Here is a 13,645-nt window from a genome sequence, read left to right as displayed (position 1 = left end):
CTGCACATGGCCACCAAGTACAGCAACACGGAACGTGCACTGCATAAACTTCAGAGGAAGCCATTCCTGTAGACTACAATATGAATGGTACCCCCTGGAATTGTGAAATGTAGTGACCCTGCCTTGTTTTTAACTTGCATTTTGGATCTCTGAATTAGGGCTTCTAATATATAATATGTAATTTGCACTAAAGCCGCTTTTAAGAAAGACAAGCATCACCTGCACCTGCATGTATTAGCAGTGTTTATTTCCGGCTGGTGGCATTATGATTGAGTTTTGGTCTCATCTTTGTGATTTTTCACATTTTCCAATTTTTCTGCAATGAACATTTATTCCTTCTTTAATCAGAGAACAGGGAGGAAATGACAATAAATGTTACATTAAGGAAAAAGTAAACGAGGTGCTCTGAGATTCTGGCAGGCAGGAGAGCAGAGGCCAACAGTTACTTGTAAGTGAGAGACTGGAGGCAGGCAATGAGAGGATTTCTAATGAGGCCAAGAGTCCAGGGAATGAGCCAGAAGGGGGCTGAGATTACCATCTGAATCTAACAGCCTTCTTTAGAAATTACTAAGCGTACAGTGTCCTGGGAACGCACAGAGACACAGAAACCAGCATAAGCACAGGGTACATTGCCCCAGGAATGAGGACTGAGATTTGCTTTCCTCTCTCACTCTGAAAGGAAGTAAAGATAGGCTCCGAGCTTGGGAGAAGCTTGATTAATTGCCAAGCTAAGGCTAGTGAATGAAAGTTCAATTAGAATTATGCTTGCTAATGAAATCCAAGTGCTGGAGCAGGAAGCTGGCAGAAGCGGCCCTGTTTTCTGTAAGCACAAACCAGGAAGCTGGAAAGGGGGGGCTTGGGGGCATTGGGAGAACGGAGGGATGCTCCCCTGGGATGGAAGCATTGTGGGCAAGAAACATTTCACTGCAGACCTGGCAGAAACAAATTGTGCTCAAGTGCATAAGCTATAAACCCTTTTGTACTTCAATTTCCTCAACTGTAAAATGAGGATAATAATACCTTCCTCGGAGGGTTATTGTAAGAATTAAATAGTGTGACTTATATACAGTTACTTTCCCTTTTCTTTTTCTCAAGCTAATTCAATATGTCAAATACTTACAGAGCATTTGCAGAAGGCAGGCCGCCATGCAGGAAGGAGTAGACAGGCAGACCGGTTGCAGGGCCATGCTCCTCATGTATATGATCTCTTTCACATCATTATGATCCCATGACACAAATTTTTTATAATAACTTTATTATTATTATTATTATTATTATTATTATTTTCCTGAGACAGAGTCTGGCTGTGTTGCCTAGGCTGGAGTACAGTGGCGTGATCTCGGCTCACTGCAACTTCTGCCTCTGGGTTCAAGCAATTCTCCCTGCCTCAGCCTCCTGAGTAGCTGGGATTACAGGTGCCTGCCACCATGCCTGGCTAATTTTTGTATTTTTTTAGTAGAGACGGGGTTTTGCCATATTGGCCAGGCTGGTCTTGAACTCCTGACCTCAGGTGATCTGCCTGCCTTGGCCTCCCAAAGTGCTGGGATTACAGGCATGAGTCACTGCGCCCAGCCAATAACTTTACTTTTAAGTTTTTATTTTGAAATAATTTTAGACTTACAGAAAAGTTGCAAAAATAGTGTAGACAGTTCCCTGTATACCCTTGACCCAACTTCCCCTAATGTTAACATCTTACCTAATCATAGTACAATTTTCCAAACCAAGAAATTAAGATTAAGAAATTATGAAACAGCTAAGTCGCTTATTTAATAGAATTGTCCCAACTGTAATAGCGCTTACTAAAATTTCACCAATGATTCCCCTAATGTTTGTTTCCTGTTCCATGATCCAGTCCAGGATCCCACATTACATTTGTTTTATTTTTTTTATTTTTTTAATTTTTGAGATGGAGCCTCACTCTGTCGCCCAGGCTAGAGTGCAGTGGTGCGATCTCGGCTCACTGCAACCTCTGCCTCCTGGGTTCAAGTGATTCTCCTGTGTCAGCCTCCCGAGTAGCTGGGATTACAGGCGTGCACCACCATGCCAGGCTAATTTTTTGTATTTTTAGTAGAGACAGGGTTTCACTGCATTGGCTAGGCTGGTCTCGAACTCCTGACCTCAAGTGATCCACCTGCCTTGGCCTCCCAAAGTACTGTGATTACAGGCGTCAGCCACCACGCCCAGCCCACACTGCATTTAATTGTTGTGCCTCCTTGGTTTCCTCCAGGCTGTGCCATTTCTTGTCTTTCATGACCTTGACACTTTTGATGAGCACTGGTCAGTTATTTTGTAGACTGTCTCTCAATCTGGGTTTGTCTGATGTTTTCTCATGATTAAATTGTGCTTGTGCATTTTAGACAAGGATTCCACCAACATGAGGTTGTGTTCATCTCAGTGCATCCTACCAGGGGGTCGTAAAGTTCCTATGTCTTATAGTAACTTCGTTTTCTTATTTTTACATATGAGTTAAGGAGTTATAGAGATTAAGTAACTCACCTGAGGCCCATAGTTTTGAACATGGCAGAATCATGAGCCACATCGAAATGGTCTTGGGAGCAGGAAGGATTAATAGATGTTAGAAATCCAGGCTTGAAATGCAGGTAAGAGATCATGACTGCACTGTGATTTAAATTGTCATTTGCATGTAGATACCAACTAAATTAAGGCGATTCCCCCTTCCCAGGGGGGAAATCTGGAGCTCCCGGGTGGCTTATTCAGTAACATAAGTAGCATCAGCGGACCAGGTGGGCCCAGGGAGAGATGCAAGCACCTGCTTCCTCTACAGGGCCAGCTTTACTCAGCTGAGCTACCTGTGTCCACAAAGGAATGTGGTCCAGTGTGGCCAGATCCTCCAATTAATTGAAGAAGAGCATTCAGTTTGGTTTTTAAATATTGGGAACAAATTACAAACAATATGAGCAACCCTGTATGGGCCAAACAAAACACATCTTTTTTGCTGGATGTGGCTTACATGTCACCTCTGGGCAAGGAGAGCAGAAAGCTGAGAAGCACTTTGGGGTAAAGGAGGAGGAAGAGAGGCCAGCCTCCAAGACCCAGAAGTCTTGATGCAAAGATGGACATAGCAAGACAGGGTAGCACCACAAAGGCCAGTAGGGGAGGGTAGGAGAAGGCAGATGTGTCCACATTCAGGATTGTGGCAGCAAGGTGGAGAACAATATTGCAGAGATTGCCAGGAGCCCAATCATTCCTTCTTAGCCACGAAATTTGCTTTGGTCAATTAAATGTAAGCAGAAATGACTTGTGTCACTTCTAAGCAGAACCATTAAAAGCTAGTACACAGTTAAGAACCTCTTCGTCGTATTCTTTTTTTTTTTTATTTTTTTTGAGATGGAGTCTCGCTTTGTCACCCAGGCTGGAGTGCAGTGGCTTGATCTCAGCTCACTGCAGCCTCTGCTTCCCAGGTTCAAGTGATTCTCCTGCCTCAGCCTCCCTAGTAGCTGGGACTACAGGCACGCACCACCATGCCTGGCTAATTTTTTTGTATTTTTAGTAGAGATGCGGTTTCACTATGTTGGCCAAGCTGGTCTTGAACTCCTGACCTTGTGATCCTCCCGCCTCAGCCTCCCAAAGTGCTGGGATTACAGGCGTAAGGCACCACGCTCGGCCTCTCTTAGTAATATTTTAAGTAGAGGATGTGCTATCAACCAGAGTCCCAGAATTAAGATAACATGGAGCAGTTATCAACCTGTGCTGGAAATGTGAAATGAACAAGAAATAACCTTCGCTGTGTCAAGCCACTAAGATTTGAGATTGTTCCTGCAGCAGGACTTAACCCATTCTGATTGACACTAGCTCATTTATCTGCAGCCAGTCACTTGGTTTCCTGGTCTTATAAATGAAAGGATATTTTCTTCACTTTGCCTAAAGGAATTTCAAACAATTTTTTACTTCTGTGAAACATTTTTCCAAATTTGTACCACTTTATCTTTGTGGTGCCTTTTTTCTCTTCTGTCTGCTGAATAACCTCTCTTGAATGTGTATATTTCTTCCAATAAATATTTTCAGACCTGCAGCATTTTGTACAGGATTTACTAAATTCATCCCTTTTGATTATTTTTGTCTCCTTGATTTTTTTTTGTTTTGTACTATGCATGTCTGAGTAAACTTCATGAGCTAAACCAAGTTTGTATGTAGTCAATGTTCTCTCCTGTTTAAGAAGGCACTGGCATTTTGACAGCAAGGATGAAGACATGTGGTAGATGGGTTCAGAATTGTATTGAATTCCACTCTATTTTTCAAGATATTTAATTCATAAAGTAATTTTGGGATCACGAGACATAATGAAACATATAACATTACAACCAAATATATTTATGACTAAATTATAAAACTTTGCAGGAAAGGCCTCTAGACAAGCTGGCAAAAAGTCATTAAAGTATTTGAACATTGATTCAGTCACTAAATATTTACTGAATGCCTCAAGTATACTAGGGATACATCAAGGAATGACAGGCGGCTACTCTCATAGGATGCCCATTAGGGCAGTGGAGCAGAGTGGTTAGAGGCAGGCTTTGGAGCCAGTAGTATGACTAAGCAATTGACTTCATTGTCCCTCCCCTGAGCCTCAGTTTCCCTATCTGTAAAATGAGGATGATCAAAATTCACATGGCTGTATTAGAAATGAATGAGCTCGATGTATACAAAGTGACACAGAACTGGCAGATAGGGAATGCTTAAGGAGTGGTAGCCTTGTTGATGTTACACAAACTTCCCTAGCATGAGGAAGCAGGGCCATGAACAGAGGTTGCTTTTGTGGAGAAAAGTGTGACAGTAGAGAAAAGGAGAGAGAAAAGGAAAGATGGTGGCCAGGATGAAAAAAAGAGTTGTTTGTTTAATTCTGGAAACTTAAGTATGCCCATTGGCAGGGGGAGGATGAAAAAAATATTGAAGACTCAAGAGAGATGGGACAATAGGTGGAAGTCAGTCTTGGAAAACAGGACAGAGAAGTTAGACTCAAAGGAAAAGAGGAGATGCTTCTCCTGGAGTGGAGACGAGGTCTGGAAGGAGAGCAGGAAGATGCTCAAGAATCTGGTTGCAGAGAGGAGGAAGTTGGGGTATCTCTGTTGCAGGGGCCCCTTGGTCTCTATTAGGAGAAGGAGGCTTATGAGGCAGCTGGAGATGGTTGGGGCAAGGTTGGCAAAGTGTGAGCAGCTCTGGACTGAGTCCTTCCCTCGGGTCCTGCTCCAGGGGACAATGGGTGCTGATAGACCAATGGCAATGGGCAGAAACATCCTCTCCTTTCCTGGCCTTTAGAGCGACTGCCTTCAACATCCTCCTCCGCCCTCGAAAAAAGAAGTCATATGATTTTGTAACAGTGACAGAAATCTGACGTAGCTGGCTCCATCTTGCTTCTAACCTCACAAGAGAACTGCCTTTGCTCAATCCTGCACATAGGCCAAGCTAACTATGGGACAAATGTTGTTTCTAATTTAATTTCAAAGCAAGGATGAGAGTGGCCCCTTCCCAAAACTAAAACCCAAGGAGATGAGGATGTACATACAAACAACAATGTTGAATTAAATATTTATAGGGGCATCGTGATCTGACCAAGGACAAAGAAGTTCTGCAACCTCCTCGGACTCCTGCTGATGCCCAGATGTCTGTGGTCACCAGTTCCCACTGAGCTCAACCCCACCTTGTTCCCCCTTCCCCAATATAAAAAGAAGCTTCAGATTCATGCCTTTTTTATTTTTATTTTTTTATTTTTTTGAGACGGAGTCTCGCTCTGTCACCAGGCTCAAGTCCAGTGGCGATCTTGGCTCACTGCAACCTCTGACTCCCTGGTTCAAGCGATTCTCCTGCCTCAGCCTCCTAAGTAGCTGAGAGTACAGGTGCGTGCCACCATGCCCAGCTAATTTTGTATTTTTAGTAGAGACGGGGTTTCACCGTGTTTGCCAGGATCGTCTCGATCTCCTGACCTCATGATCCGCCTGCCTCAGCCTCCCAAAGTGCTGGGATTACAGGCGTGAGCCACCGTGCCCAGCCCAGATTCATGCCTTTTAAGGCAGCTTCTTAGGACATTGGTCTGCCGTCTTCTCAGCTTGCTGGCTTTCCAAAATACAGTCGCTTTCCTTGCTCTGACTACTTGTCTCTCAACTTACTGGCTGTTACGCAGTGAGCGGTCCAAGTCTGGACTCAGTTACAAGTTCCAAACTGAGAAGCATGCATTTGTTGGTCCAGGCTTCCTAGGAACCTAAAGGCAGCCAAGCGGTCTCTCTGTTCCCAGAGTTCTCCAGTGAGAAGGAGAAGCTGGTCTAGTGTCCTATCACCACACATTTAATGATTTGCCATTTGCCATTTGCTCAAAAAAGGCCAAATGAGCTAACCTGACTTGCAAGACCCATTATGAGCTGCTCTCCTCCCCCACCACTTCTTACCACTCTTCCTCTCTCCAGAGGGGGCTCAGGTTTTCCTGTGTAGAAGGCAGGCTGTTTTGAGGTTACCATGAGCTATGACTGCACCCTTGCCTCAAACTATACTTGCATTATGCTTTGCATAAGGCTGAGACAACCTCGATTGGCCATCTCAAATAATGGAGGCAGTGAGATGACAGAAAACATGGAAGCCACTCATTGGCATCTCTTACTTTGTGTGTCAGTCACGTGGAACTTGGCTTGGTTCCTCTTATAACTGAGGACTGAGAGTCTGTGCTGTGTCTGTGCTCACCCTGGGGTCTTCATCCATGCTGTTTCTTCTGCCTGGAACATATTTCTCTTCCTTCCTTCCTTCCTCCCTCCCTTCCTTCCTTCTCTCCCTCCCTCCCTCCCTTCCTTCCTTCTGTCCTTCTTTCCTTCCTTCCTTCCTTCCTTCCCCTCTTTCCCCTCCTTCCCCTCCTTCCTTCCTTCCTTCTTTCCTTTTCTTTCTTTTGACAGGGTCTTGCTCTGTCACCTAGGCTGGAGTGCAGTGGTACAATCATAGCTCACTGTAGCCTCCAACTCCTGGGCTCAAGTGATCCTCCCACTTCAGCCTCCTGAATAACTAGGACCACAGATGTGAGCCACTATGCTTGGCTAATTTTTTAAAAATTTGTTTTGTAGAGGCAGGATCTTACTGTGTCACCCAGTCTGGTCTGGAACTTCTGGCATCAAGTCATCCTCCCGCCTTGGCCTCTGAAAGTGCTGGGATTACAGGCGTGAGCCACTGTGCCTGGCCCTGGTACACACTTCTTGACCATACTTTGCCTGGATAACTTCTACTCATCCTTCAGATCTTAACTGAAAAGACTGCTCCTCCAGGCAGCCCTCCTTCCTTCTCTCCCTTTTCACTATCAGTTGATCCTGTATTATGGTAGTTTGTCTGTCTCCTGTGCTAGACTATAGACATCTTTTGTACCCCAGCATCCTGCCCAGTTCCGTGCTCCTGGCTCAGAACAGAAATTAATAAATGTCTGTGGAATGACACGTCAAATGAATGAATGAATGAATGAATGAACGAACGAACGAAGGAAGGAATGAACGAACTCCATGTGGCTCCAAAGAAACAGTGAGCAACTCAACCTGTAGGTGGCGCAGTTGAACAGGCGACCAGAGTGGGAAGGGCTTATGGCCAAGGATCTGTCACCTTTGTTGCTGTTAAGCCACGTGGCGCATGATCCCTGTGCAGTTGGCTTTTGAGGCTGAAATCGTGACTTTATCTTTATCAAACTGTGGGTGCTGTGGAGTCACCCGGGATTACCTTAAAACCATTGGTTCTGGAGTTGAACTATTCGAGTTTAAATCCAGGTTTTTGCTCCTTCCTGCTGAGAAACCTCCGGAAAGTCATTTAACTTCCCAGAGCCTCAGTTTTGCCCTCTGAGAAATGGGCACGATAGTAACAGTACCTGCTCCCTCACAGAGCTGCTATTAATACAAAGATCGAAAGGGGAGTGAGTCGCTCAGGCATGCCTGGCCCAAAGCAGGGGTGCAGGCAGCTTAGGGATGACGAGTGTCGGCAGGTCTCTGTGGCGTCTTCCTCCCCATCCTGCGCCATGGGGCGCGCGTGCAGGCTGCGCTCTGCCCGCCAGTCCTGGCATAGCCTCTCCTGAATGCGCGGAGCGGGGTGCAGCCGAGGTTTCTGGGATTTCGAGCCTACTGGGGAGTCGCAAGGAGGCTCCAGAGCTTGCGGACCCATGGCTGCTCCTCTGATTGTGAAAGCAGCGCTGCGGCTCACAAAGTGGCCCTTTCAGTGGTTTTTGCAGCAGCAGAAAAGCGCCTGCAGGCGGCCGGGTTCCTCTACGGTGACCTCCGAGCTGGTGGTAAATTGCATCTCTCGACAGAGGTGGCTGAGGGAAGCGCCGGGATCAATCCTCACCCGGGGAGGACAGGACTGGAGTGCTGGACCTGCACGACCCTGAGTGCAGTGCGGTCGGGGTGGAGGGTCCGCTGGGGATCGGCCATGCCAAAAGGCATGCTCTGGAAGCCAGGCCACGACAAGTCCTCCCAGTCCCGCGGAATGCTGGGGAAGGAGGAGACTCCACCTGGAGCCCCCAGATCCTAGGAACTCTTGGGGTGGTTGGAAGTGTTTGGAGGATGGGCTCAGAAAAGTGGAACTTGGATTCTGGAGCTGAAAGGGGCTGCAACTCCAACCAGAAGCAGCCCTCATTATCCCGTTTCTGCTGAAGGTCCAGACAGGGGTTGGTGTCACATTAGGGGGTGCTGTCATAATAACATGAGAGCTGCCAGCATCAGCCCTGCACCCAACACACTTAGGGGTGATTCAAGCTTTGCCTCTTACTAACTGTGACTTTAGGAAAATTATTTCCTTGGGCCTCAGTTTCCTCATCCGCAAAATGGAATTATAAAGTAGCTTCCTCGAGTTGTTGTTGCTGTTACAGGATTGGCACACACAGTTTGCTGCCGATCCTAAGCCATGCAGAGGACTAATCGATCCACACAATCGTTCCCGCTAAGCCTAGATAGACTCAATGTGGTGCTCCACACTCTGATCAATTAGTGCACAGCATGAAACCTTCAGGGCATCACTGGCCTTGGGCCTTGCCAAATCATGGGCATCAAACTTCATTACAATTAGATGTTTTTAGCCTCTTTTAAGAATGAAGAATCTGCAATTGCACATCACTGTGGTTCAAATTTCATTGCACTAGAGAAGTGTGTGTTGGCCAATATATAAATGTACATATCTTCTCAGCATTATTTAGAAGATGACAATGTGTCTGGGGATATTTCATCTGCAGAATCTAATAAACTCAACATCATTAGATATTTACATAAAACAAATGAAAATGTTGATGTATCATTTACCTGTTAGGACGTATTATGTAATAGCTCATCAGGTTGGGAAAATTAGATGAGATAATGTATGTAAATCACTTAGCATGGAGCCTGGCACATGACATTTGCTCAATAAAGGTTAACTAGAGTAATATTAAGACATAGTGAAGTTGAAATATTGATATGGTTTGGCTGTGTCCCCACCCAAATCTCATATTGAATTGTAGCTCCCATAATTCCCACCTGTTGTGGGAGGGACCCAGTGGGAGATAATTGAATCGTGGGGGCAGTTTTCCCCATACAGTTCTCATGGTAGTGAATAAGTCTCATGAAAGCTGATGGTTTTATAAGGGAAAACCCCTTTTTCTTGGCTCTCATTCTCTCTTGCCTGCTGCCACATAAGACATGCCCTTCACCTTCTGCCATGATTGTGAGGCCTCCCCAGCCACGTGGAGCTGTGAGTCCATTAAACCTCTTTTTCTTTATAAATTACCCAGTCTCAGATATGTGTCTATCAGCAGCATGAAACCTAACTAATACAGATACAGTGGAGTTCACAGAGCTGTGACCATGCATCATTGTTTTGTTAGGATTAGGTTCTGCTGCATAAGCAGAATCTACTCTGCTTGATGCCACATCCTGACTTCATTCCTTCCCTTCCCAGTCCTACTTTCTACTCCCCTGCAGGCTTTTCCTAAGAGCATGCCTAGTAAATTACCTTCAGATGAATCATTATTTTGAGGCTCCTAGGGAACCCAATCTAAGAACCACCAACACTCATGGACATTAGGATCGATCAGATTCTAAGCCAGTTCAACCAATCACAACTCAGCACCTCATCCTTGCTGGTCACATTCACATTATCAATAAAAGTTAATATTTGTGCCAGACACCGTACTAACTGCTTGATATATATTAATTCATTTGATCCCTACAGTAACTCTGTGAAGTAGGTAGTCTTATTATCCACATTTCCAGATGAAGAACTGAGAACCAGAGAAGTCAAGTAACTTGTTCAAGGTCCCGCAGGTAATAAGTGGCATGGCCTGAATTCAAACCTAGGCAATTTGGGTTTTTGAGTTTGGGTCTTAACAGCATGCTCTGTAGCTAGTCACTGCAATGCACCCAATAGAACTCAGTAACTAAATAGTAAGAATTGTTAATGTGAGCAACAGAGACCAATTGGGAAGTGAATTACCCATGGCTAATATAATAATTTGGTTGGAAAAGCAACCAAAGTGTCTATAAGAAAGAAATTTTGAATAAAGCTGTGGGCAAAAAAATAAAATAAAATAAAATAAAATAGAGCAATTTTGAAAAAAAAAAAAAAAAACAGCAAGTTTGTGTATCATGGTTTTCCTGGGGGTTTTGCTGGGGTTACCTCTGACCTCTGGACATCCTGCACATATTAACACCACACACACACACACACACACACACACACACACACACACACACACGTGGAGATGTTGTCTTTACAAAGCTAAAGAAGCCCATGCTATTCTCATGAGGCCTCTGTTGTCTGAATTCCTGCTCACAGAAGCTGGGGCCATCTTATCTGGGTGATAGCCAAGAAAGATGGTGTTGGGGGTTACTTGAAGCTTGAGCTAGGATGAGGGAGACAGGCACAGAGATGTGGACTGGAATGTCCCAGATAGCTTCTCTCATCACATGTGTGGGGGTTGTGCTGAGATGGCTGAAACAGCTGGGTGCCAGCCAGCACCTCTCTTTCTCTTACTCACTTTCTTTTCACGTGGCCTTTTTTGTGACTGGCTTCAGCTTCCTCACAATATGGTAATTTCAGAGTAATCTGACTTCTCACATGGGGAAAGCATCCCCTCAAGAGTGCAAGCAGAGGCTGTCTGGCCTCTCTTAAAGGCCTAAAAAGGGCACAGCATCTCTTCTGACAAATTTCTTTGATCCAATCAATCATAGATTTGATCATAGGTTCCAGGGAAGGGAAAAGGATCTCCCCTCTCAACCAAAAGAATGGCCAAAAAGAATGTTTGGCCATCTTTACCCTGCCACAGACTGTGGTTTAAGCAAGATAGACACAAAGTTTTATTGTTATTAAGATGTTGAGATTGTTTGTTACAGCAACTGGCTTATGCTGACTAATGCACCTTGTCATCACTGCATGTATAGAGGGTTATTCTCATCTTCCCTCAGAAAGGGTCATCTAGTAAATGAAGCAAAACTGAGAGAGAATGGAAGACACTGTCCAGGGACTATTCAATCTCTGTTTCTTCTCAAGACCTCAATTCCTGATCTTCTTCCACCTCCTTTTGCATTGAAGAAAAATAAGTTCAAGTAAGAGATGTATGAACTCTCATATTTGGTTCACAGAACAGTTTTCACCAGGGAAGTTGAGCTAGTAGTCAAAGTGATTAAAGCCATTTGGAGGTAATGAGCTCACCATCGCTGGGAAGAATTTGTGCAGAGGCTGGTGTCATTGGGATGCTGGAGTTGAAATCCAACCACTATCCCTTCCACTACCGAGGCTGCTTTTCCTCAAACCCAAAGAGATCCCAGTTTGGTGGAAGTCTTTTCCAGCCCATGAGACCACCTGGGTAGAAATCTAAGCTTTAGATTGTCATGAGCAGGCAACCAGAGCGTGTAAACATACATCTTTCTGGAAAGTTCCAAGCCAGGTAATAAGAAACTGGTCCTTGGCATTTAATAGAAAATAAAGGATTTCAGAAGTTTCTTAGAGCAAAGACTAGAGACTGATAATAATAAAGATGTGTGAGTGTGAAATAGATGAGACCTTGACCTCTACTTTGCCTGGGTGTGGGAAGGGGTCTTTTGTAATCTACTGTGGATTTCTCTAGAATAGGGACAATGTCTTAAATATGCTTGGTTCCTTTCTTTCCCTCCTCCTCAACATCCTGTGCTTCAGCATGACCTGCCGCCTCCAACTCCAAAATACATACTGAATGTGTCCCTTTCTCTCCATCTCTGCTGCCCACACCCTGATCCAAGCCACTATCATTTCCTGCCTGCACCACTGCCCCAGCCTCCCAGATGGCCTTGGTCGCATGCTCATCTCTCCCCCTACAATCCATTTTGCACACTGAACTTGAGAGATCTTTCTGAAACAAATCATGTTACTCTTCTGATTAAAACTCTCTCATGGTTTCTCATGGCACTTAGAAGAGAGTCAGAATTCCTGCAATGACTAGAGGCTCTACAGATTCCAGCCCTTTCATGTCTCATTGACCTCATCTCCTATCCTCTTGTCCTCAGGACTTGCCACTCAGCCATACGGGCTTCCTTTCAGTTATTCATTCACCCAGTGCGATCCCACTTGCTACTCTCTCTGCCCGAAATGTTATTCCCTTCCCATCTTCTTGTCATCCTGATCTCTGCTTAAAGTCACCTCATCAGGGAGACTTTCCCTGATCAGCCTACGTAAAATACAGCCCCTCATCCTTCTGTATCCCCCTACTGTTCTTTCTTTTCTTTATGTCATCAATTTATTTGCCTATTTATTTATCCTATGTCCTCTACTCTAAAAGGTTATGCCCAGGAGACACTTTGGCTATCTTGTTTTCTGTGATATCCCTCTAGCCTAGAACAGTGCTTGTCATAATCAATTGAATAAATGAAAAAGTATCAATTAAATAAATTTTAAAATGAATGACCATTTGGCACTTCCCCAGGTTCCAGCAGAGATCTGGACATGCAGTAGGCAACCACTAACTTTCTTCCATTTGGTGACTAAATGGAAACCAAGGTAGGCAATGGCTTCATGTCGTCACTGTATTGTGGTTGTGTTTCAGTATATGCAACATGGTGATTTTGTTCTTCAGAGGGGTTCCTCACATCCCAGAGAAAATGACTTGAGACACAAACTGCAGGACAAGGTCAGTCTACCAGGATCCTGCCCAGCTCTATCTGCGCTCCCAAAAACTCATCCACCTGCCTTCTCCCTGAACCACCTTACACACTCCAAGCTGACCCAGTGAGGAGTTGGTGGGCGAGTGAATATCTTCAAGGCTTTTTTTAAACAGACCATCAACACTCGGAATGTATAGCCTTAAGTGTGTTCCTAGAAAGACAGACTGTCTGGGTAGATAGAATATATAATCAGAATTTCTCAAATGGTACTGCTTGGATACTGTTGTGAGACATTAATTTGTATTTTCTCTCTTTTCCTTCCTTCCATGCAGGCAGGTGGCTGGCTTGGTGGTTGATTGCTTTAAGGGAGGAATGTGTCAGGACTGAAGGCAGAAGTATCCCCCAAGATTTATGTCTTTGTTGCTGAAAACTTAAACATGAGAGGATAGGTTTGTGGGAGGAGGCGGAATGGCTTAGATGACTCAGAAAGGAGAGAGAGAGAGACTTCCCTGAGATTAAGAAAAAGAGATGTCCTCTGGGCTGGGGTAAGAGAGAGTATCTAGTGGGTTCCCAGA

General features: G+C 44.8%; 2 annotated features.

The window, feature by feature from the left end:
* Positions 2,436–2,946: an enhancer, noted in NCBI's record as "OCT4-NANOG hESC enhancer chr16:22964872-22965382 (GRCh37/hg19 assembly coordinates)". NCBI's record gives its function as "activates a minimal SCP1, AML or CMV promoter by ChIP-STARR-seq in primed H9 embryonic stem cells {active_cell/tissue: H9 hESC(primed)}" and the evidence as "EXISTENCE:reporter gene assay evidence [ECO:0000049][PMID:30033119]".
* Positions 7,432–7,481: an enhancer, noted in NCBI's record as "active region_10575". NCBI's record gives its function as "activates an Ori minimal core promoter by ATAC-STARR-seq in GM12878 lymphoblastoid cells {active_cell/tissue: GM12878}" and the evidence as "EXISTENCE:reporter gene assay evidence [ECO:0000049][PMID:35858748]".

Source organism: Homo sapiens, chromosome 16, assembly GCF_000001405.40.
Source record: "Homo sapiens chromosome 16, GRCh38.p14 Primary Assembly".
Classification (NCBI taxonomy): domain Eukaryota; kingdom Metazoa; phylum Chordata; class Mammalia; order Primates; family Hominidae; genus Homo; species Homo sapiens.
Note: the sequence above shows the minus strand (reverse complement) of the source record. Positions and strands in the feature narration are given on the sequence as shown.